Raw genomic sequence first — 21,937 nt, forward strand, 5'->3', positions numbered from 1 at the left:
TCTGTGTAAACTTTTCTTCCTTTATGAAACATTCTTTCAATATTTATATCTTTCAATAACCTCTTTTTATTTATATTTTCAAACAATTCCTTTCTAGGTTAACCTTATATAAGGAAAAGGAAAACAAAAAACAAAATAAAACAAAACAAATCTTCCCTTCCAGTATTAAAGAAAATTATCCCAGTTTGAAACTTGGTTAACATCAGGTTCTTTGACCACATTATTCAAACTATCAAGCCCAATTCTGACCATTAAAATGATGAATAACTTTCATAATACATACCTAGCAAAGCTTGGAATAAGCTGCTCTTAAAGATACCCATCACCTTTTTAACCGCATTTTTCAACAGCTGCTCCTCTGGTTTCCTTAATTTTTTGCAGTATTCTTCCAGTAATGATAAAGCTCGGTCAGTATCTGAAAAACATGATATTATTATTATATTTTATGGTCTTAGCAAAATAGAAAACTAACATTAAACTATTCTATAATTGTGTTCCTAACTTAATGACATGAAATAACTTAATAAAATAATCATAATTTCTATAAACTACCATATGAAAATAATTATACTCAATGGCCAATTTCAACAATCCAGTTTTATTTCTATAGTCTTGTCTTCCAAAAGAATCCCTAACTGTAAAACAAAACAAAGAATTCAATCCTGGCCACGATGTTCAAGTTAGATATAACTCTCTCTTGTCAGAGACACTGACCTTAAAATTGATGACTTCCTGCAAAATAATATCCAACTTCCTTAACATGACCCTTGAGGCCTCCCTCCCATGATCAAATATTTTCAGCCTTATTTCCCACTATATAGTCCACACTCTCCAAACACACATACAGTGCCTAAGTCATACTGGATTACTCACTTTTCCCTTCCATTTTCCTCTACACGCATGCATGCGCAGACACCCACATACATACACACACGCATGCACGTGCACACTTGCTCTCTCCCCCACCTCTCTCTTTCTCTCTCTCTCTCTCTCTCTACTTTTTCTCACCTCTGTACTTTTCTTTGCTCCTACTGTTCTCTGTGCTGGTATTTCTTCCCCTATACCACTGTATATACTCCCTAGAATCAGCGTGCTATCTTGAAAAGGGGTTCTTGTCAGGCAAATCTAGGTATGACCCAGATCTTACTTACTAGCTGTGTGTGACCTTTAACACGTTCCTTAACCTCTCTGAGCTTCAGTTTCCTCACAGGTGTTATGATTAGACAATATATGCACAATCCCTAGCACAATATCCAGCACACAGAAAATAATCAAGTAAGTCAACTGAACACCTACTTTCTCTTCATTCAGATCTAACTCAAATGCTCTCTCTTCCATAAAGCCATCTCTGATGGTTAAAATTAATCATCATTCCGTCTTCTTCTAAACCACTTTGCCTATACGAATTTGTCGGCAGTCTTAAACCCATATCTTATTATTTTATGACTTCTTGAATAATGTCTTCATCCTTCACAAGACAAAACATCCTTGAAAAAGTCACTAGAGTTATACAACCTTTGTGTTTAGGTGATAATTGTCTTTGAATTTAAAAGCCCTCCTTCCCTTCCAATCTATCACTTTCAAAAAAGCCTAAATACCAATTATAATAACAATAGCTTATATTTATTTTCTATTTCCTCCTTTCTCTTGAACCTTCCAACTCTTCTTCCTCATGGCCATTCTCAGCTGATGGTATTACTTCCTATTACATGGAAAATCAGAAGGCAGATTCCACAAGCTCCTAACATAACATCTACTGACTTACCTGTAACTGCACCCACATAGTCTGCCTTCCCTTATATTACTATGAATAAAGAATTTGTTTCTAAGGTCAACTCCTCTCTTGAGCACTGGAATATATCCTCTCTTGCTTACTCAAGGAAATTGTTCCATTATCAATTGCTTTCTTTTCCACTCAATCATCCCATCATTACTAAATCCAGCAGTCAATTATCAATCATTTCATTTGGCCCATAAGCATCATTTGATATTGTCACACTCTTGAAAACACTTTTTTCACTAGGCTTCCACACAGGTGTGCTGGTAAATACTTAAAAACTAGTTCAGATAAAAAGGAAAACATGGGCACCTACACGCACATGAGTTTGTTATAATTTTACTGACACAAGGATGTATAGCAACCAGTCTACAAATAATAATAAGATATACAACCTTTAATTGTAAATTCCATTAGTCAGTTGATTCTCAATAATATTTTTATTGGTTTTTACCAAATTCTTGTATTCATAGCCAACTTAGGGTTATAACTGATGAATGAGTAGTTCCAACATATATGTGGTTTGATTATGTTGTCATATTAATAAAATGAAAATAAAACAACAAAGATAGTTTTTGTGAAAACCTCACTCAATTATGTTATTTGTTTACTGAATCAGATAATAATTTTTGAATAGTGGACAAATATTTCCTCAATTTCTGTACTAATATCAATGTAACAGCAACAGACACAAAATGCTTTTAACTTGCGCTTAAATTATTAGTATTTACTTTATCACTTTCTTATCAGCAAAACAATAAATCAAGCCCAAATTTGTAGCATTTGCAATTTCCAAAGTCTAAATATTCCCACCATGGCCAATTTCAAGGTACCAACATGATGTCTCTGAACATGGATCTGAGAAAAGATGCACAGCAGCATACCATTATGTAGCTTATCCACCGCACAAATACAATCAATGTAAATAACTCAAGAGCAGAGATGGTATGAAAATGAAAAATAATTAAGAATTGATGACTGTTGAGTATTTATTACTTTTTAATATAATTTAGTTAAGTTTATGTGTAATTATTTTTGTTAGTGATGGGGTCTCCCTACATTGCCCAAGTTAGTCTTGAACTCCTGACCTCAAGCAATCCTCCTGCCTTGACCTCCCAAAGTGCTGGGATTACAGGCATGAGCCACCATGCCTGGTCCATAGTTTATGCATAATTTTTAAGTGGTTGAGTTTAACTTTTTTTTTTTTTGAGATGGAGTCTCACTTTGTTGCCCAGGCTGGAGTGCAGTGGCGTGATCTCGGCTCACTGCAACCTCCGCCTTCTGGGTTCAAGCAGTTCTCCTGCCTCAGCCTCCTGAGTAGCTGGGACTACAGGTGTGTGCAACCACACCCAGCTAATTTGTGTATTTTTAGTACAGACAGGGTTTCACCACGTTGGCCAGGATGGTCTTGATCTCTTGACCTTGTGATCCACCCACCTCGGCCTCCCAAAGCACTGGGATTACATGTGTCAGCCACCGTGCCAGGCTTTAACATTTTTGAAATGGCTGTATTGTCTTGCAAATTTGCTGAAAATTTAATGATAAGCTCTTGCAAGCTGACATGAGCCGTCTCCAGCACACCATTATTTCCAGGGCAGCACTCTCTCCCAGATTGTTTTCCCACTTCATGGATGCCCTTTCTCAATCACATTTATTAGTTCCCTCTAATTTCTCAATGAGGGCTTAAGATGTTTAGAATACCTCTGAACATGGTAAGACTTCTTTAATCTTACTCCCTGGATAATCTTACCCAGTTTCCTTGATAATCTTATCTAATTCCGTAGTTTTAAATATTACCAGCACCCTCAAGACTTCCGAATGTATATCTGTAGCTCAGAACTTTACTCTGAATTCCAGACTCATATCCAGCTGAATGCTCAACATTTCCATTTGGATGTCTAATAAGCATCTCAAACTTCACTTGTCAAAACTGAACTCCAGATCTTATCCACCCACCCTCAGTCTGCTTCTCCTCCAATGTATCTCCATCTTTCACCCTTCCAATTATTCAGACCCAAATTCCTGAAGTCAGCATTCATTCTTTTCTCTAATTCTCTACATCTATCCATCAGTAAATCCTGTGGGCTCCAACATCAAATTATATGCAGAATCCCATCACTTCTCCCTACCTCCAGTGCCACCACCCTGGCACAACCCATCATCATCTATCCCCTACATTACTGCAATGTTCTACTAGTTTACATGCTGTCACCTTTGCCCTCCTACAGTCTTTTCTCTTTTTTTTCTTTTTTCTTTCTGTCTTTGTTTGTTTGTTTTGTTTTTTGTTTTCTTTTAAGCAGGATCTCTCTCTGTCACCCAGATGGGAATGTAGTGGGGCAATCACTGCACATTTCAGCATCAGCCTCCCAGGCTCAAGTGATCCTCCCAAATCATTTTTTGAATTCTGATTTTTTTGTAGAGATGAGGTCTCACTATGTTGCCCAGGCTGGCCTACAGTCTTTTCTAAACCCAATAGCCAAAAATATCCTTTCAAGTCATCAACTAGATTATGTCATTCCTCAACTCAAACCCTCCAGTGTCTCCCCATCCCACTCAGAGCAAAGGCCCACCTCTCTGACTTCAGCTCTTAGACCTCTCCTCTTGCTCAATCTACTCCAACCACAGTATGCTGTTTCTCAAATATATCAAGAACTCTCCTATATCATGGCCTCTATACTTGTGATTCTGCCTATAACACTCTTCTCTCAGGTATCCATAAAGCTTGCTCCTTCACTTCTTTCATATCTCTGCTTATATATCATCTTAGTAGTAAGGCCTTCCCTAATACTCCTATATAACATAGCAAACTTCAAGCTTATCCCCTTGAAGGAAATGAGAATTTCAATTGGGCAATAAGAGATGGAGGAGGACATTGCGTAACTACTCCTCTTCTATCTAGTAAGATTAGAAATATAGAAATAAATGTGGATGAACAGAGAGCTCACTCCAATTTATATTAACAAAGAATGGTGATATAAATGTGTGCTAATATATTTGCATAAACTTTAATTTTTAAAAATGATTTCACACTTTACTTGCGTAATGTTTTAACAACTCTGAATCAAGGACAAATATTTTAATCCCCATTTTGTCAATAATTAAACAATCAGCAGTTTCCCCAAAATGATGGTGGCTCACTTTCTAACCCATCCCTACACACTATTTACAAATATAAATAGTTACTTTACTTACCACTGTAGGTGATCAACAATACAATAATTATACTATACCTCTCTCTCTACTTATATGTATCTGTGGGCTCTAATCACGTGATTACCTCTAGTGCCCAAAGCTTTAGTCTTTTTCATTTCCTCATTAAAGTCTGCCGACATTTTTCGGGAAACCTACAAGTGCTGAGCACCTTTTTCTTTTCTCTCTCTTTTTTTTTTTAATACAATTATAACTAAAGCCTTTTTTTTTAAGCTTCTGTGGCATTGTTGTAGGTATTACCCTAGTCGTTTATTCTTTTAAAGGGCAATTCTTGGCCAGGCACGGTGGCTCACACCTATAATTCCAGCACTTTGGGTGGCCAAGGTGGAAGGATGGCTTGAGACCGGGAGTTCGAGACCAGCCTGGGCAACAGAGCAAAACCCTTTCTCTACAACAAAATTTTAAAATTAGCCAGGTGTGGTGGTGCACGTCTGCACTCCCAGCTACTCAGAAGGCTGAGATGGGAGGATCATTTAAGCCCAGGAGTTCGAGGCTTCAGTGGGCCACCATCCTGCTACTGCACTCCAGCCTGGGCTACAGAGTGAGACCCTGTCTCTAAATAAATAAGTAAAATACCCTGTCTCTAAGTAAATAAGTAAAATTAAGAGCAATTCTCAAAAATGTATTAACAATATTCCCACAATCACATCTACAAATATAATTAGATAAGTAAGGGGAATTTCACTCACTCATTTAGCATATATTTATCCAATAACTATAAAGGGAAAATACTGTATTGATTCAAAACAGCTAGATGTTTTCTAAACCAGCAGAGCTTACTATGCCTCTCATCGCTGTAGGATAAAAATTTGACACATAAAAAATGCTAAAATATTTTTAAAAGGTCGTATATAATCAAGTCTCCAAGTTAGGCTTTCACACACCAGCATCTAGGGCTGGAATTGTGGCTGCCCTTTTATGCTGCTTTTGATTATTGAGAATGATCATCACCTGGAGTCAATTCTATTATGCTCTTCAACTCTCTCTACTCAAATCCTTATTTCTGGTTAATGAAAGTTTGAAGGTAATCTAAAAATGACAAATTAAACAAATGAGACAAATGGCAAGGATCTTTTCATACAAATTAAAAATCCCTAACCTAATCTCCATAAATTGAATAAAGTGGAAAGCTGAGATAATTATCCAAGCAAGTCAAGATTCATATTTTAATTGATGTTCAAATAACCAAGTGGAGAATTTTTCATCTAAATTGCCTCAATTCTCCTGTTTTCTTCATTAAACTCTACCTTCATAAGACTCCTGAGTCTACAGGAAAAAAAAAAAGCTAAATTTGGATTACTTGAGGGCAGGCACAGGAGGAAATGGGGGGGAAGGGAGAATCACTTTTTAAAATAAGAAATTTTTGCATGAAATATGCAACCAAGGGATAGTGAATGTTACATAATTAGAACTGTAGGTAATCATGTGTCTGTTAATTAAGGTTCAACTCTATATTGTACATGGTTTAAGAATAGCATCACCAGAAAGTTATAAATAATTTGGGACAGGTAATTTAAATTTGAAACAGTGATTGGCAATAGTGCTAACAAATGAACTTTTAGAGAAAAGAAAATGATGATACATAAAATCATTTGCCATGGCTTAAAAAATGAAGAATTACAGAACATACAGTGGTATCATTAGGAAAACTCAGATCAAAGTATAATAGAGAAAAGGTGAATTTAACAGGCAAATTTTGGAAAATAAAGCATTTAGAATAGTGAAATTATTTTACATAAATCTATTCAACATTTTTACAGTTTAAAAAGAACTTTTAAATGCATTATCTTATCTGATTCTCACCACTGAGAAGTCATACCTATTTTACATGAAACTGAAACTCAGAGTGGCTTGTCCAAGATCACACAGCTACTAAATAACAGATTTGGAGCTTAATCCAAAAGCTTTTGATTCCAAGTATAGTGTTCTCTCCACAATACCACCCTTAATCCTCCAGAAATGGAGATGAGCATATTTTTATGGAAAAAATAAAATAAAACTTGACCAATCAGACATAAATCGTATCACTGAATTTTAGAATCTAGGGTTAAATGTTGAATCACAAATGTTCAAATTTAGTCTTTTAATTTGTATTTGTAACATATAAATAAAAATGGTCCTACCTTTATAAGTCTGGTAGATAGAGAAAAAGGTTATTTCAGCCATTAATCAAGTATTTATTGACTATCTTACTATATCCAGACACTGGGAACACAGTACTGAACAAAATAGGCAATAGTCTACCCTCACAGAGATTTTAGTCTCAAAATAAAGATAATTAACTAGGAAATTCCAACAAAGTGAAAGATTAAAACAGAGTATAAGAATGCTATCACGGCTGGGAGCGGTGGCTCACGCCTGTAATACCAGCACTTTGGGATGCCAAGGCAGGCAGATCACCTGAGGTCAGGAGATCGAGACCAGCCTGACCAACATGGTGAAACCCCGTCTCTACTAAAAATGCAAAAATTAGCTGGACATGGTTGCGGGTGCCTGTAATCCCAGCTACTTGGGAGGCTGAGGCAGGAAATCACTTGAACCCGGGAGGCGGAGGTTGAAGTGAGCTGAGATCGTGCCACTGCACTCCAGCATGGGTGACAGACAGAGATTCTGTCTCAAAGAAAAAAAAAAAGAATGGTATCATAAGGTACCAGGTACCATGGGAGTAGAGAATTAAGTTGATGGCATACGTACAATGTTAACAAGTTTGGCCTTATACCAAGGGTAGAATGTCAAGTCATGGAAGATTTTTAACTGAAGAGGAATATGACCATTTTTTAGATTTAGAACGATTAACTATAGTATGATATGTATCCATTAAAACAAGCAATAACAATTAGACATTTTTCATATTTTAAATATATACAAAATTGAATGATCACAATTTTATCATTACTTATTAGACATTAGGACTAGAAAATGAAAGTGAGAGGTGAAGCCGGCTGGCTTCTGGGTCAGGTGGGGACTTGGAGAACTTTTCTGTCTAACTAAAGGATTGTAAATGCACCAATCAGTGCTCTGTGTCTAGCTAAAGGATTGTAAATGCACCAATCAGTGCTCTGTGTCTAGCTAAAGGTTTGTTAATGCACCAATCAGCACTTGGTAAAAACGGATCAATCAGCACTCTGTAAAACGGACCAATCAGCACTCTATAAAATGGACCAAGCAGCTCTCTGTAAAATGGACCAATCAGCAGGATGTGGGTGGGGCCAAATAAGGGAATAAAAGCAGGCCACCTGAGCCAGCAGCAGCAACCTGCTCAGGTCCCCTTCCACACTGTGGAAGCTTTGTTCTTTCGCTCTTCACAATAAATCTTGCTGCTGCTCACTCTTTGGGTCTGCGCCGCCTTTATGAGCTATAACACTCACTGCGAAGGTCTGCAGCTTCACTCCTGAAGTCAGCGAGACCATAAACCCACCAGGAGGAATAAATAACTCCAGACGCGCCACCTTTAAGAGCTGTAACACTCACCGCAAAGGTCTGCAGCTTCACTCCTAAAGTCAGCAAGACCATGAACCCACCAGAAGGAAGAAACTCTGGACACATCCAAACATCAGAAGGAACAAACTCTGGACACACCATCTTTAAGAACTGTAACACTCACCACGAGGGTCCACAGCTTCATTCTTGAAGTCAGAGAGACAAAGAACCCACCAATTCTGGACACATTTTGGCGACCATGAAGGGACCATCACCTTTCGCCAAGCAGTGAGATTATCGCCTATCGCCAAGTGGTGAGTACCATTGGACCACTTTCACTTGCTATTCTGTCCTATTTTTCCTTAGAATTCAGGGGCTAAATACCAGACACCTATTGGCCAGTTAAAAGTGACTAGCACAGCCGCCGGACTAAAGACACGGGTGTCAGGCTTTCTGGGAAAGGGCTCTCTAACAAACCCCGACTCTTCAGAGTTGGGAGCATTGGTTTGCCTGGAACCAGCTTCTGCATTTCCCGTACTTCTGGGCTGAGCCAAGGGTCGACAGAGGGGAAAGTCATTCAACTCCAGGGTCCCGACAACAAGTTGGTTGACCCTGCAGCCATGAGTGAAACTCAAAGTCATGTCGCCCAAGCAAGACTCATCCATCTATCTTGATCCTTGCCCCCGGGTCCTAACGCCTGCCAGATAAACTTCCTCTCACCTGTCTTCTCCAAGGCTAGTCCCGCTTATAAAAACCACTCGCTCTCTCTGGTGCTTTTCTAGTTTCTCCTATAAGAATGATTTCTAGTATAAACTCCAGGACTCTGTTACCTTCTTTTGGCACCTGGGCTCACCAATCAAAAAGACATAATTTTTGCCCAAAGCCCCGTCATAGGGGAGACTATCTGGAATTTTAGGATCCCTCCTCAGACAAGCAGGCCTAATAAAGGCTATTCCTACAGCTAGGATATGGGGAGCCTCAGAAATTGTATCCTTCCTATTCATATAAGTGAAGATAAAAGGCATCAGTCTTCCAATTCTGGAGATCCCTCCCCTCCCTCAGGGTATGGCCCTCCACTTAATTTTTGGGGCATAACATCTTTATAGGACATGGGTAAAATCCCAATACTAACAGAAGAATGCTTAGGACTCTAACAAGTTTTCGACAATGCTTCAGTAAAGGTGACTACATTGGATTTTTCTCGGTCCTCTTTGTGGTCTAGGAGGACAGGCAAGGGTGCAGGTTTTCGAGAATGCATCAGTAAGGGCCACTAAATCCGACCTTCCTTGGTCCTCCTTGTGGTCTAGGAGGAAAACTAGTGTTTCTGCTGCTGTGGCGGTGAGCACAACTATTCTGATTAGCAGGGTCCAGGGACCGTTGTGGGTTCTTGGGCATGGGGAGAAACAAACCAAAACCATGGGTGGTTTTGTCTTTCAGATGGGAAACACTCAGGCATCAAAAGGCTCACCCTTGAAATGCATCCTAAGCCATTGGGACCAATTTGACCCAAAAACCCTGAAAAAGAGGTGGCTCATTTTTTTCTGCACTATGGTCTGGCCCCATTATTCTCTCTCTCTCTCTGATGGGGAAAAATGGCCACCTGAGGGAAGTATAACTTACAATACTATCCTGCAGTTTGACCTTTTCTGTAAGATGGAATGCAAATGGAGTGAAATACCTTACGTCCATGCTTTCTTTTCATTGAAGGAGAATACATAACTATGCAAAGCTTGCAATTTACATCCCACAGGAGGATCTTTCAGCTTACCCTCATATCCTAGCCTCCCTACAGCTCCCCTTCCCATTAAGGATAAGCCTCCTCTAATCTCCCCGGCCCAGAAGGAAATAAGCAAAGAAATCTCCAAAGGACCACAAAACCCCCCAGGCTGTCAGTTTTGTCCCCTTCAAGCTGTAGGGGGTGGGGAATTTGGCCCCACCCAGGTACATGACCCTTTCTCCCTCTCTGATTTAAAGCAGATCAAGGCAGACCTGGTGAAGTTTTCAGATGGTCCTGATAGGTACATAGATGTCCTACAGGGTCTAGGGCAAACCTTCAATCTCTTTTGGAGAGATGTCATGCTATTGTTAGCTCAAACCCTGGCCTTTAATGAAAAGAATGTGGCTTTAGCTGCAGCATGAGAGTTTGGAGATACCTGGTATCTCAGTCAAGTAAATGATAGAATGACAGCTGAGGAAAGGGACAAATTCCCTACTGACCAGCAAGCCATCCCCAGTATGGATCCCCACTGGGACCCTGACTCAGATCATGGGGACTGGAGTCATAAACATCTGTTGACCTGTGTTCTAGAAGGACTAAGGAGAATTAGGAAAAAGCCCATGAATTACTCAATGATGTCCACCATAACTCAGGGAAAGGAAGAAAATCCTTCTGCCTTCCTCAAGTGGCTACGGGAGGCCTTAAGAAAATATACTCCCCTGTCACCCAACTCACTACGGGGTCAATTGATTCTAAAAGATACATTTATTACCCAATCAGCTGCAGATATCAGGAGAAAGCTCCAAAAGCAAGCCCTGGGCCCTGAACAAAATCTGGAGGCATTATTAAACCAGGCAACCTCAGTGTTCTATAATAGGGACCAAGAGGAACAGGCCCAAAAGGAAAAGTGAAATCAGAGAAAGACCACAGCCTTAGTCATGGCCCTCAGACAAACAAACTTTGGTGGTTCAAAGAGGTCAGAAAATGGAGCAGGCCAATCACTCGGTAGGGCTTGTTATCAGTGTGGTTTACAAGGACACTTTAAAAAAGATTGTCCAATGAGAAACAAGCTGCCCCCTCGTCCATGTCTGCTATGCTGAGGCAATCACTGGAAGGTGCACTGCCACAGAGTGCAGAGGTTCTCTGGGCCAGTAACCCCCAATAAGAAGACCCAACAACAGGACTGAGGGTGCCTGGGGCAAGCACCAGCTCATGTTATCACCCTCACTGAGCCCCGGATACGTTTAACCATTGAGGGCCAGGAAATTGACTTCCTCCTGGACACTGGTGCGGCCTTCTCAGTGTTAATCTCCTGTCCCAGACGACTGTCCTCAAGGTCCGTTACCATCCGGGGAATCCTGGGACAGTCTGTAACCAGGTATTTCTCCCACCTCCTCAGTTGTAATTGGGAGACTTTGCTCTCTTCACATGCCTTTCTTGTTATGCCTGAAAGTCCCACACCCTTATTAGGGAGGGATATATTAGCCAAAGCTGGAGCTATTATTTACATGAATATGGGGAACAAGTTATCCATTTGTTGTCCCCTACTTGAGAAGGGAATCAACCCTGAAGTCTGGGCATTGGAAGGATAATTTGGAAGGAAAAAAATGCCCGCCCAGTCCAAATCAGGCTAAAAGATCCCACCACTTTTCCTTATCAAAGGTAACATCCCTTAAGGCCTGAAGCTCATAAAGGATTACAAGATATTGTTAAACATTTAAAAGCTCAAGGCTTAGTAAGGAAATGCAGCAGTGACTGCAACACCCCAATTCTAGGAGTACAAAAACTGAATGGTCAGTGGAGACTAGTGCAAGATCTTGGACTCATCAATAAGGCAATAATTCCTCTATATCCAGTTGTACCCAACCCCTATACCCTGCTCTCTCAAATATCAGAGGAAGCAGAATGGTTCACTGTTCTGGACCTCAAGGATGCCTTCTTCTGTATTCCCCTGCACTCTGACTCCCAGTTTCTCTTTGCCTGTGAGGACCCCACAGACCACACATCCCAACTTACACAGACGATCTTGCCCCACGGGTTTAGGGATAGCCCTTACCTGTTTGGTCAGGCACTGGCCCAAGATCTAGGCCACTTCTCAAGTTCAGGCACTCTGGCCCTTCAGTATGTGGATGATTTACCTTTGGCTACCAGTTTGGAAGCCTCATGCCAACAGGCTACTCTAGATCTCTTGAACTTTCTAGCTAATCAAGGGTACAAGGCATCTAGGTCAAAGGCCCAGCTTTGCCTACAGCAGGTCGAATATCTAGGCTTAATCTTAGCCAGAGGGGCCAGGGCCCTCAGCAAGGAATGAATACAGCCTATACTGGCTTATCATCACCCTAAGACATTAAAACAGTTGCAGGGGTTCCTTGGAATCACGGGCTTTTGCCGACTATGGATCCCCGGATACAGCGAGATGGCCAGACCACTCTATACTCTAATCAAGGAGCCCCAGAGGGCAAATACTCATCTAGTAGAATGAGAACCAGGGTCAGAAACAGCCTTCAAAACCTTAAAGCGGGCCCTAGTACAACTCCAGCTTTAAGCCTTCCCACAGGACAAAACTTATCTCTATATGTCACAGAGACAGCAGGGATAGCTCTTGGAGTCCTTACGCAGGCTCATGGGATGAACCCCCAACCAGTGGCATACCTAAGTAAGAAAATTGATGTAGTAGCAAAAGGCTGGCCTCACTGTTTAAGGGTAGTTGTGGCAGTGGCCATCTTAGTGTCAGAGGCTATCAAGATAATACAAGGAAAAGATCTCACTGTCTGGACTACTCATGATGTAAATGGCATACTAGGTGCCAAAGGAAGTTTATGGCTATCAGACAACTGCCTACTTAGATACCAGGCACTACTCCTTGAAGGACCGGTGCTTCAAATACCTATGTGTGCAGCCCTCAACCCTGCCACTTTTCTCCCAGAGGATGGGGAACCAATCAGCATGACTGCCAAACTTATAGTCCAAACTTATGCCGCCCGAGATGATCTCTTAGAAGTCCACTTAGACTGATGGAAGTTCATTTGTGGAGAATGGGATACTACGGGCAGGTTATGCCATAGTTAATGATGTAACCGTACTTGAAAGTAAACCTCTTCCCCCAGGGACCAGTGCCCAGTTAGCAGAACTAGTGGCACTTACCCGAGCCTTATAACTGGGAAAGGGAAAAAGAATAAATGTGTATACAGATAGCAGATATGCTTATCTAATCCTACATGCCTATGCTACAATATGGAAAGAAAGGGAGTTCCTAACCTCTGGGGGAACCCCCATTAAATACCACAAGGAAATCATGGAGTTATTGCACTCAGTGCAAAAACCCAAGGGGGTGGCAGTCTTACACTGTCGAAGCCATCAAAAAGGGGAAGGAGAGGGGAGAACAGCAGCATAAGCAGCTGGCAGAGGCAGGGAAAGACCAGCAGAGAGAGAGAGAGAGGAAGAGACAGAGATATAGAGAGAGAGAAAAAGAGAGATAGGAAGTCAAAGAGAGAGACAGAGAGGAAGAGACTGAAAGTCAAAGAGAGAAGGAAAGAGAGGAAGATACAAAGGAGTCAAAGAGACAGAAAGAAATAGAAGTAGTAAAGAAAAAACAGTGTACCCTATTCCTTTAAAAGTCAGGGTAAATTTAAAACCTATAATTGATAATTGAAGGTCTTCTCTGTAACCCTATATCACTCCAATACCACCTTGTTGTCAGTGTCAACAAGGGCATAGCCCGAAAGCACTGAGGCCACTGACAACCCATAGCCTTCCTATCAAAAATCCTTAACCCAGCAGGTTTCCCAACAAGGGATCTAAATCTTAACTAATTATCATACGAAGGTCTGACCAGACCTAGGAGGAACTCCCTTCAGGACAGGATGATAGATGGTTCCTCCCAGGCAAGTAAGGAAACAAAGACACAATGGATATTCAGTGAGGAAACTCTTGTAGAAGCAGAGTTAGGAAAATTGCCTAATAATTGGTCTGCTCAAATGTGCGAGCTGTTTGCACTCAGCCAAACTTTAAAGTACTTACAGAATCAGGAAGGAGCCATCTATACCAATTTTAAGTTAATATGGACTGAACGAGGTCTTACTAATAGCAAAGAATAATTGAAATCCCAAACTTACAAGGTTTTCAACAAAAGTAAAGTTTGCTAAAAGTTTACAGTGTAACATATATTATCCTAACTTCTAATCTTATGAAAATCAGACCTTATCAGTACCCCTCAAAGCTCAAGTCCATCAGCGCAGAGCCATACAACTAATACCCCTACTTATAGGGTTAGGAATGGCTACTGCTACAGAAACTGGAATAGCAGGTTTATGTACTTCATTATCCTACTACCACACACTCTCACAGGAATTCTCAGACAGTTTGCAAGAAATAACAAAATCTATCCAGTAAGGATAGTAACCACAACCCCAAACAGACTCTTTGGCAGCAGTGACTCTCCAAAACTACCGAGGCCTAGACCTCCTCACTGCTGAGAAAGGAGGACTCTGCACCTTCTTAGGGGTAGAGTGTTGTTTTTATACTAACCAGTCAGGGATAGTATGAGATGCTGTCCGGCGTTTATAGGAAAAGGCTTCTGAAATCAGAAAACGCCTTTCAAACTCTTACCAACCTCTAGAGTTGGGCAATATGGCTCCTCCCCTTTCTAGGTCCCATGGCAGCCATCTTGCTGTTACTCGCCTTTGGGCCCTGTATTTTTAACCTGCTTGTCAAATTTGTTTCCTCTAGAATCGAGGCCATCAAGCTACCGATGGTCTTACAAATGGAACCCTAAATGAGCTCAACTAACAACTTCTACTGAGGACCCCTGGACTGACCCACCAGTCCTTTCACTGGCCTAAAGAGTTAACCTCTGGAGGACACCACAACTGCAGGGCCCCTTCTTCACCCCATCCAGCAGAAAGTAGCTAGAGCAGTCATCGGCCAAATTCCCGACAGCAATTGGGGTGTCCTGTTTAGAGATGGGATTGAGAGGTGAAGCCAGCTGGGCTTCTGTGTCAGGTGGGGACTTGGAGAACTTTTCTGTATAGCTAAAGGATTGTAAATGCACCAATCAGCTCTCTGTGTCTAGCTAAAGGATTGTAAATGCACCAATCTGTGCTCTGTGTCTAGCTAAAGGTTTGTAAATGCACCAATCAGCACTTGGTAAAAACGGACCAATCAGCACTCTGTAGAACAGAACAAGCAGCGCTCTGTAAAATGGACCAATCAGTAGGATGTGGGTGGGGCCAAATAAGGGAATAAAAGCATGCTGCCCGAGCCAGCAGCAGCAACCCGCTTGGGTCCCCTTCCACGCTGTAGAAGCTTTGTTCTTTCGCTCTTTGCAATAAATCTTGCTGCTGCTCACTCTTTGGGTATGTGCCACCTTTATGAGCTGTAACACACACTGTGAAGGTCTGCAGCTTCACTCCTGAAGTCAGCAAGACCACAAACCCACCAGGAGGAATGAACAACTCTGGACATGCCACCTTTAAGAGCTGTAACATGCACCGCGAAGGTCTGCAGCTTCACTCCTGAAGTCAGCGAGACCATGAACCCACCAGAAGGAAGAAACTCTGGACACATCCAAACATCAGAAGGAACAAACTCTGGACACACCATCTTTAAGAACTGTAACACTCACCACGAGTATCAGTGGCTTCATTCCTGAAGTCAACAAGACAGAATCCACTCATTCCAGACACAAAAGTATTTTACTAAGAAGTATTCACATATGCTTAATTCTTATTGTTGATGTTATTGCTTTTTTACAAATCAAGGACACTCATGAGAAAGTAATAAAGTAATGAATAGCAACAGAAAAGTTAGTCTTGAACCAGGTTTTTTTTTTTTTTTAAAAATTAACATTAAAATGTATAGTTCGGCCGGGCATGGTGGCTGACACCTGTAATCCCAGCACTTGAGGAGGCTGAGGCAGGTGGATACCTGAGGTCAGGAGTTCAAGACCAGCCTGACCAACATGGAGAAACCCCGTTTTTACTAAAAATACAAAATTAGCTGAGCATGGAGGCCCATGCCTGTAATCCCAGCTACTCAGGAGGCTGAGGCAGAAGAACAGCTTGAACTTGGGAGGCAGAGGTTGCAGTAAGCCAAAATGGCGCCATTGCACTCCAGCCTGGGCAACGAGAGTGCAACTCCATCTCCAAATAAATAAAACAAACGTACAGTTCAAGGTGATACCACAAAGGTGTCATTTTATTACTAATAATATTAGCTAGCATTTGTGGAACAATGCTAGGCATTCTGCACTGATCACCTTATTTAATCTTCAAAAGAATCCTAAGAACTACTACTATATACATTTTCACAAATGGGGAAATTTTAGACTGAGGGAAATAGAGTACATTTGCCCAAGGCTACATAACAGTAAGTGCTGGAACCACAATGCAAATGCTGATCTATCTGCCACCAAAGCCCATACAAAGCATTATGCCATATTGAAACTTGATTTACTAGGAAAGGATCACAATGCTTCTTTCTTCTATAATTATTCTTTGCAATTATACTTTACCCTCCCTAAAAAAGAATTGTTTGAATATACTTCAACTAACACCTGTTGATCTGGTTATTTTCCCTGTTGAAACAAGAAGATATTATTAATAGTATAAAACGGTAAATTTATATCTCTCCTTTCAGACAAGCCATGCTTTCAAATTTTCTATAAACTTGTTAAAGGGGAATGATAGAAAATGTGCAAGGCTACGCAGCAGTAAACAGAAAGTAAGAAAACAACGAATTGGCCAGGCATGTGGCTCATGCTTGTAATCCCAGCATTTTGGGAGGCCGAGGCAGACGGATCACTTTGAGCTCAGGAGTTCAAGACCAGCCTGGGCAACATGGCGAAACCCCATCTCTACTAAAAATACAAAAATTAGCTGGGCATGTGGTGGGTGCCTGTAATCCCAGCTACTCAGGAGGCTGAGGCAGGAGAATCGCTTGAACCCAGAAAGCAGAGGTTGCAGTGAGCTGAGATCATGCCACTGCACTCCAGCCTGGGCAACAGAGCAAGATTCCATCTCAAAAAAAAAAGATTAAAAATTGCATCTTCAGCTAAATACTGATTTTTGCATCATTCCAGATTTATTTATCTAGAAAAATAAATAAATAAATAAAATTTGGAATTTAAATAGTGAAGAATATGTATGGCAAGACTTAAAGCAGACCTGAAGACTGCAATCATTTTGTATATATTAGATGATTTACAAATTACTTTAGCATCTTTGGAGGAGAAATAATCTTAATAAGAAATGTTATAACCTGTTTTTTTTAAAAACACGCATGGCATCTCCTATCTGTGATCAAATGCATCATTGCCATATCTGGACAGGCTTGTTCCAGAAGCTGACCACGAAGCTGAACCCAAACCACTGATGGAAGGGGACTCTGACATTTCTCCTCCTTGAACCCACCCACCCCCCTAAAAAAAAATGCATTCAGATGATAAGCTTTTGTACAGCAGTTTCTTATCTACAAAATAATTTTTATATGGTCTAGGTCTCTTGATTTGATCCTCACAATAATCCTAAGAGGTATTAGTACTATACTTAAGTTTTAACAGGAAAAATTTGAAGCTCTATCTGTTGATTTGCTTAATGTAGTCAACTGATGGTAAAAGCTAGATTCCAATCCTGGGCTCTCCTCTACTGCACTATGATGCCATTCACTTGTTCAAAGACTACCACACTCATACAGTAAAAAGGAAAGCATCAGACAAGCTTCTGGTCCTAATTCCATCACTAACTAGCTTTGTAAAAGTGAAGTTCATGAACATTATCATATTTGATGGGAAAAAGAAACAGTATATAGTAAGGGGGAAAAAAGCATTAAATCCCTTTTTTAAAAGGAAACAAGTTCAGAAGGATTACATGATTTTCACAGGATCTTGGTGGCATCATCATAAGAAGGCAAGTAACCTGTATTTTACACATGGGAGATTGGTACTTTGAGATATTAAAACTTTTTTCTACCTAAATTTTCCCATTTCCTTTTTTCTCATTCCAGCGACAACTGGTTCCCTACTTTATTGCCTCAGGGGCGCTATATGCCAGGACAAAACCCAGAAGGAATTTTTCAGTAATTCCAGTTTTGCTTTCTAAAAACCTAAGCCCTCAGAATAAAATAAGAGTTTGTCAGAGATGAAAAAGAGATTCTCGGGTACAGGCAGAGAAAGGGACTTCTCCTAGCCCCTTCACAGCGTAGAAAAAAATTTTCCCAGCTGAAGAAAACATAAAAAAGTCTTTGGATCTCAAGGGATCAGGGATCTAGGCTCTTGTTATTGGCAACATTGCTTGGAAGGCAGCAAGACCCAAGAGGAATGGCATTGTAACGCATCTAGGCAAACAGAAACACAGACATTCTAGAAAAAGGTAAAAGTCCATGACTCGGACATATCAAATATCTGTCAAACCAGACGAGAAAGAGCTATCTAGACACAACAACTCATATGTCAGAAGTAAGCTGTTTTATATAGATGATCAACAACCAGAAGACACTCCCATTCCAGGCAGAACCCCACCTTAACCCCAGGGAAGTGGGGAAAACTTCAAAAAGGATAAGTTATTTTGTCTGTTACTCAGTTACTAAGAGTAAAGGTGAATTACAGAAAATAAATGGATACTTCTAACATACCTAAATTTACAGACCAAGTCCAGCTCACGGATTACCTGATCCTGTCCCTTCTTTTAGTAGCCAAATCTTCTGACTACTGTTCTAGGTTTTTTCCACCATGTCACTGCTATCGATGATGATGATAACACAGGATGTGATTATATAGTTCAAGGCCAAAAAACAAGAAAAATAAATAATGATCTGAAACAGCCTCTTGCCATTTCCCACATTGTCTGGTAAACTTCTATTCATCTTCTGTATCTCATCTTAAATATTACATCTTCCCTAGTGGGATTGAGTGTTCCTTGTCTGTTTTCTTGACAAAGAGCGTTAACCTCACCACACAGCATTGAAATTGCCTGTTTTTGCATCTGTCTTCCTAATATATTTTAAGATTCATACAGGCAGAGATTGAATATCATTTGCTACTTCAAACATGCATCTGGCACTATGCCTGGCACATAGCAGGCACTCATAATACACCTTTGTTGAATGGATAAATGATTGAATAAATAAATGAAAGTAGAGTCATTGCCTTAAATATATACACCAGTTTACACCATATATACACCAGTTTACCTTTTAAAAGAATTTTAGCTTGTTTATTACCTATGAGAGATGTTTAAATAGAACAGAACTTAATAGGTTTATTCCAAGTATTACCATGCTTTTAATGATAAAGATGTCACAGTCCTTCAAAATGATAAGCCCCTGATAGAAGCTTCAAAATTGTATCCTAAATTAGGGCCTCAGTGGCTAGCAAAATGGTGTTACCAGAAGAAATGGGTTACAAAAATCTTACCCATAATCTTTGAAAGTTTAAATTTAATAATTCATTTTCACAGGATTTTCTACTTTATTATACTATACCATTCCTCTTGATCTTAAATCCTAAAATAAAGGAGGTCAGGAGAATCGTTTCATAATGAAGGTGATTTGGCCATAATTCTTGAAATAGCTTTGAAAACTTACTAAAAATTGAACCCATGCGGAAAGCTTATTAGTTGGAATTCAGAATGACTAACTGGACAGAAGAGACTGGATAAAACTCATGATCCTTTGCTGACAAAGCAACCTACATTGAGGATATAGAAATACTTGTGTCTTGACTGCCATAAATTCCTGGGCAAGAATTGTAGCTGGAGAACACATTCCCTTATCCCAATCAAAAAAAAAATCTCTCCCTTATACTAAAAAATATTTTGTAATCACTGACATGGTAACATAGTATTAAGAAATAAGCATATAAGGAGAATATATATTTAAGAAAGTATAGTATTCGTATAGTTCAGTAAATGTATTTTACAGAACAGTGAGAAATTTACTTATTGACAAAGGCATGAATGAACAGAATGCCTTAATCCAACATTTTAAAAACCCAATGTTTATCCCAGGCAAATTAACACAGAAACAGAAAACAAAATACCGCATGTTCTTACAAGTGGGAACTAAGAATTGGGTATACATGGACATAAAGACAGGAACAATAGACACTACGCAAGGGACTAGTGGGGCAAGGGCTAAAAAACCACCTATTGAGTACTATGCTCAATACCTAGGTGACAGAATCATTCATATCCAAAACCTCAGCATCACACAATATACTCATGTAACAAATCAGCACATGTACTCACTGAATCTAAGAAAAAGTTGAAGTTTTTTAAAAATAAATAAGTAAAATCCAATGTTTTGTGCATACCTCACTGACTAGATTCTTCTACCCACAAAAGTAAACAATAATAGGCCTAAGGGAGAAATCAAATATTCTATCATAAATAAAAACACTTGAGCAGATTTCCAAAAACCCAGAAGTTCACACATTTTCTAGTATCAAGTCATTAGCATATGCTTTGTACTCTCCCAATAGATATGTAAAATAAAATCAATTAACAGATCATTTTATCTCTACGTCTTCCTCACTAAGTTGCTTCATAGCAAACTCCTAATCAGTAGTTAAACACAAAAAGTATTCTTCTATTTCTCATTCTGGAATTCATTCTATTTATGCCTCCTGGATTAATTAATATTTTACAATATCAAGAGTCTATAGCTTATCCAAGGTCAAAATTGTCCCTACGGGGAATTTCTTTTAAAATAAAAAAGATATGGGATACCCAGGCTGGAGTTCAGTGGCACAATCACAGCTCACTGCAGTCTCAAACTCCTGGGCTCAGGCAATCCTCCAGTCTCAGCCTCCCAAGTAACTGGGACTATAGGCACATGCCAACAAGCCCAGCTAATTTTTTTAATTGGGGAATTTTAAATTAAAAAAAAAAACTTTAGTAAATTGTCTATTTTACTTTGACTTACAGAAAATGCAAAAGTTTGAAAACTGTGTTTTCCCATCTTTCTCTAGGATGATTCAGTGCTTAATTCTTTTGAGTTTTATGGCTGTGAAGAGATTAAAAAAAAAACTTGAAGTTTTGGAAAACAGAAAAAACATGTGCAGCCATATGCAGTGGCTCATGCCTGTAATCCCAGCACTTTCAGAGGTGGAGGCAGATGAATCACCTGAGGTCAGGAGTTTGAGGTCAGCCTGCCCAACATGGTGAAATCCCCTCTCTTCCAAAAATGAAAAAATTAGCCAGGCACAGTGGCAGGCGCCTGTAATCCCAGCTACTCGGCAGGCTGAGCCAGGAGAATCGCCTGAACCCAGGAGGTGGAGGTTGCAGTGAACCGAGATTGCGCAACTGCACTCCAGCCTGGGCAACAGAGCAAAACTCCGTCTCAAAAAAAAAAAGACAAGCTCTCCATATATTACTGGTATGGCAAACATGAAAATTCAAATACAAATTTGGTAAAATGCTTGCAAAAGGAATAAAATAACCACACAAGGCCACTCAATGAAGTCAGGTACAGGCATAGCTCATTTTATTGCACTTTGCTTTACTGCACTTTGCAGACAACACGTTTTTCACAAATTAAGTTTGTGACAACCCTGTGTCAAACAAGTCTATCACTGGCAATTTTCCACAGGATATATTCACTTCATGTCTCTGCGTCACATTTTGGTAATTCTCACAATATTTCAAACTTTTTCATTAGTCTTTTATTTGTTACAGTGATCTGTAATCAGTGATCTTTGATGTTCATTGTAATTGTTTTGGGGCGCCACAAATCATACCCACATAAGACAGCAAACTTAATCTGTAAATGTTGTGTGTTATCTGACTCCTCTACCAACTGGTCATTGCCCCATCTCTCTC

General features: G+C 40.0%; 1 protein-coding gene across 12 annotated transcripts in view, besides 3 other annotated features; it reads right to left on the reverse strand.

Annotated features, from left to right (window-relative positions):
• The window catches only part of DLG2 (discs large MAGUK scaffold protein 2), a 2,173,362-nt gene that overhangs the window by 2,143,362 nt on the left and 8,063 nt on the right, over positions 1 to 21,937 (reverse strand). For all 12 annotated transcript variants that reach the window (NM_001351274.2, XM_017017256.3, XM_047426494.1 and 9 more), the window contains one exon: positions 284 to 415. In NM_001351274.2, coding sequence (NP_001338203.1) covers positions 284 to 415 — 132 coding nt within the window. The remainder of the gene's footprint in view (positions 1 to 283; positions 416 to 21,937) is intronic.
• Positions 7,664 to 8,863: an enhancer, noted in NCBI's record as "BRD4-independent group 4 enhancer chr11:85317081-85318280 (GRCh37/hg19 assembly coordinates)". NCBI's record gives its function as "activates an origin of replication core promoter dependent on BRD2, P300/CBP, MED14 and CDK7 cofactors, and independent of BRD4, by STARR-seq in HCT116 cells {active_cell/tissue: HCT116}" and the evidence as "EXISTENCE:reporter gene assay evidence [ECO:0000049][PMID:35650434]".
• Positions 9,606 to 10,565: an enhancer, noted in NCBI's record as "OCT4-NANOG hESC enhancer chr11:85319023-85319982 (GRCh37/hg19 assembly coordinates)". NCBI's record gives its function as "activates a minimal SCP1, AML or CMV promoter by ChIP-STARR-seq in naive and primed H9 embryonic stem cells {active_cell/tissue: H9 hESC(naive and primed)}" and the evidence as "EXISTENCE:reporter gene assay evidence [ECO:0000049][PMID:30033119]".
• Positions 10,979 to 11,179: a silencer, noted in NCBI's record as "peak1373 fragment used in MPRA reporter construct". NCBI's record gives its function as "represses an SCP1 promoter by STARR-seq MPRAs in K562 erythroleukemia cells {active_cell/tissue: K562}" and the evidence as "EXISTENCE:reporter gene assay evidence [ECO:0000049][PMID:32103011]".

This window comes from Homo sapiens, chromosome 11 (assembly GCF_000001405.40).
Source record: "Homo sapiens chromosome 11, GRCh38.p14 Primary Assembly".
Classification (NCBI taxonomy): Eukaryota; Metazoa; Chordata; class Mammalia; order Primates; family Hominidae; genus Homo; species Homo sapiens.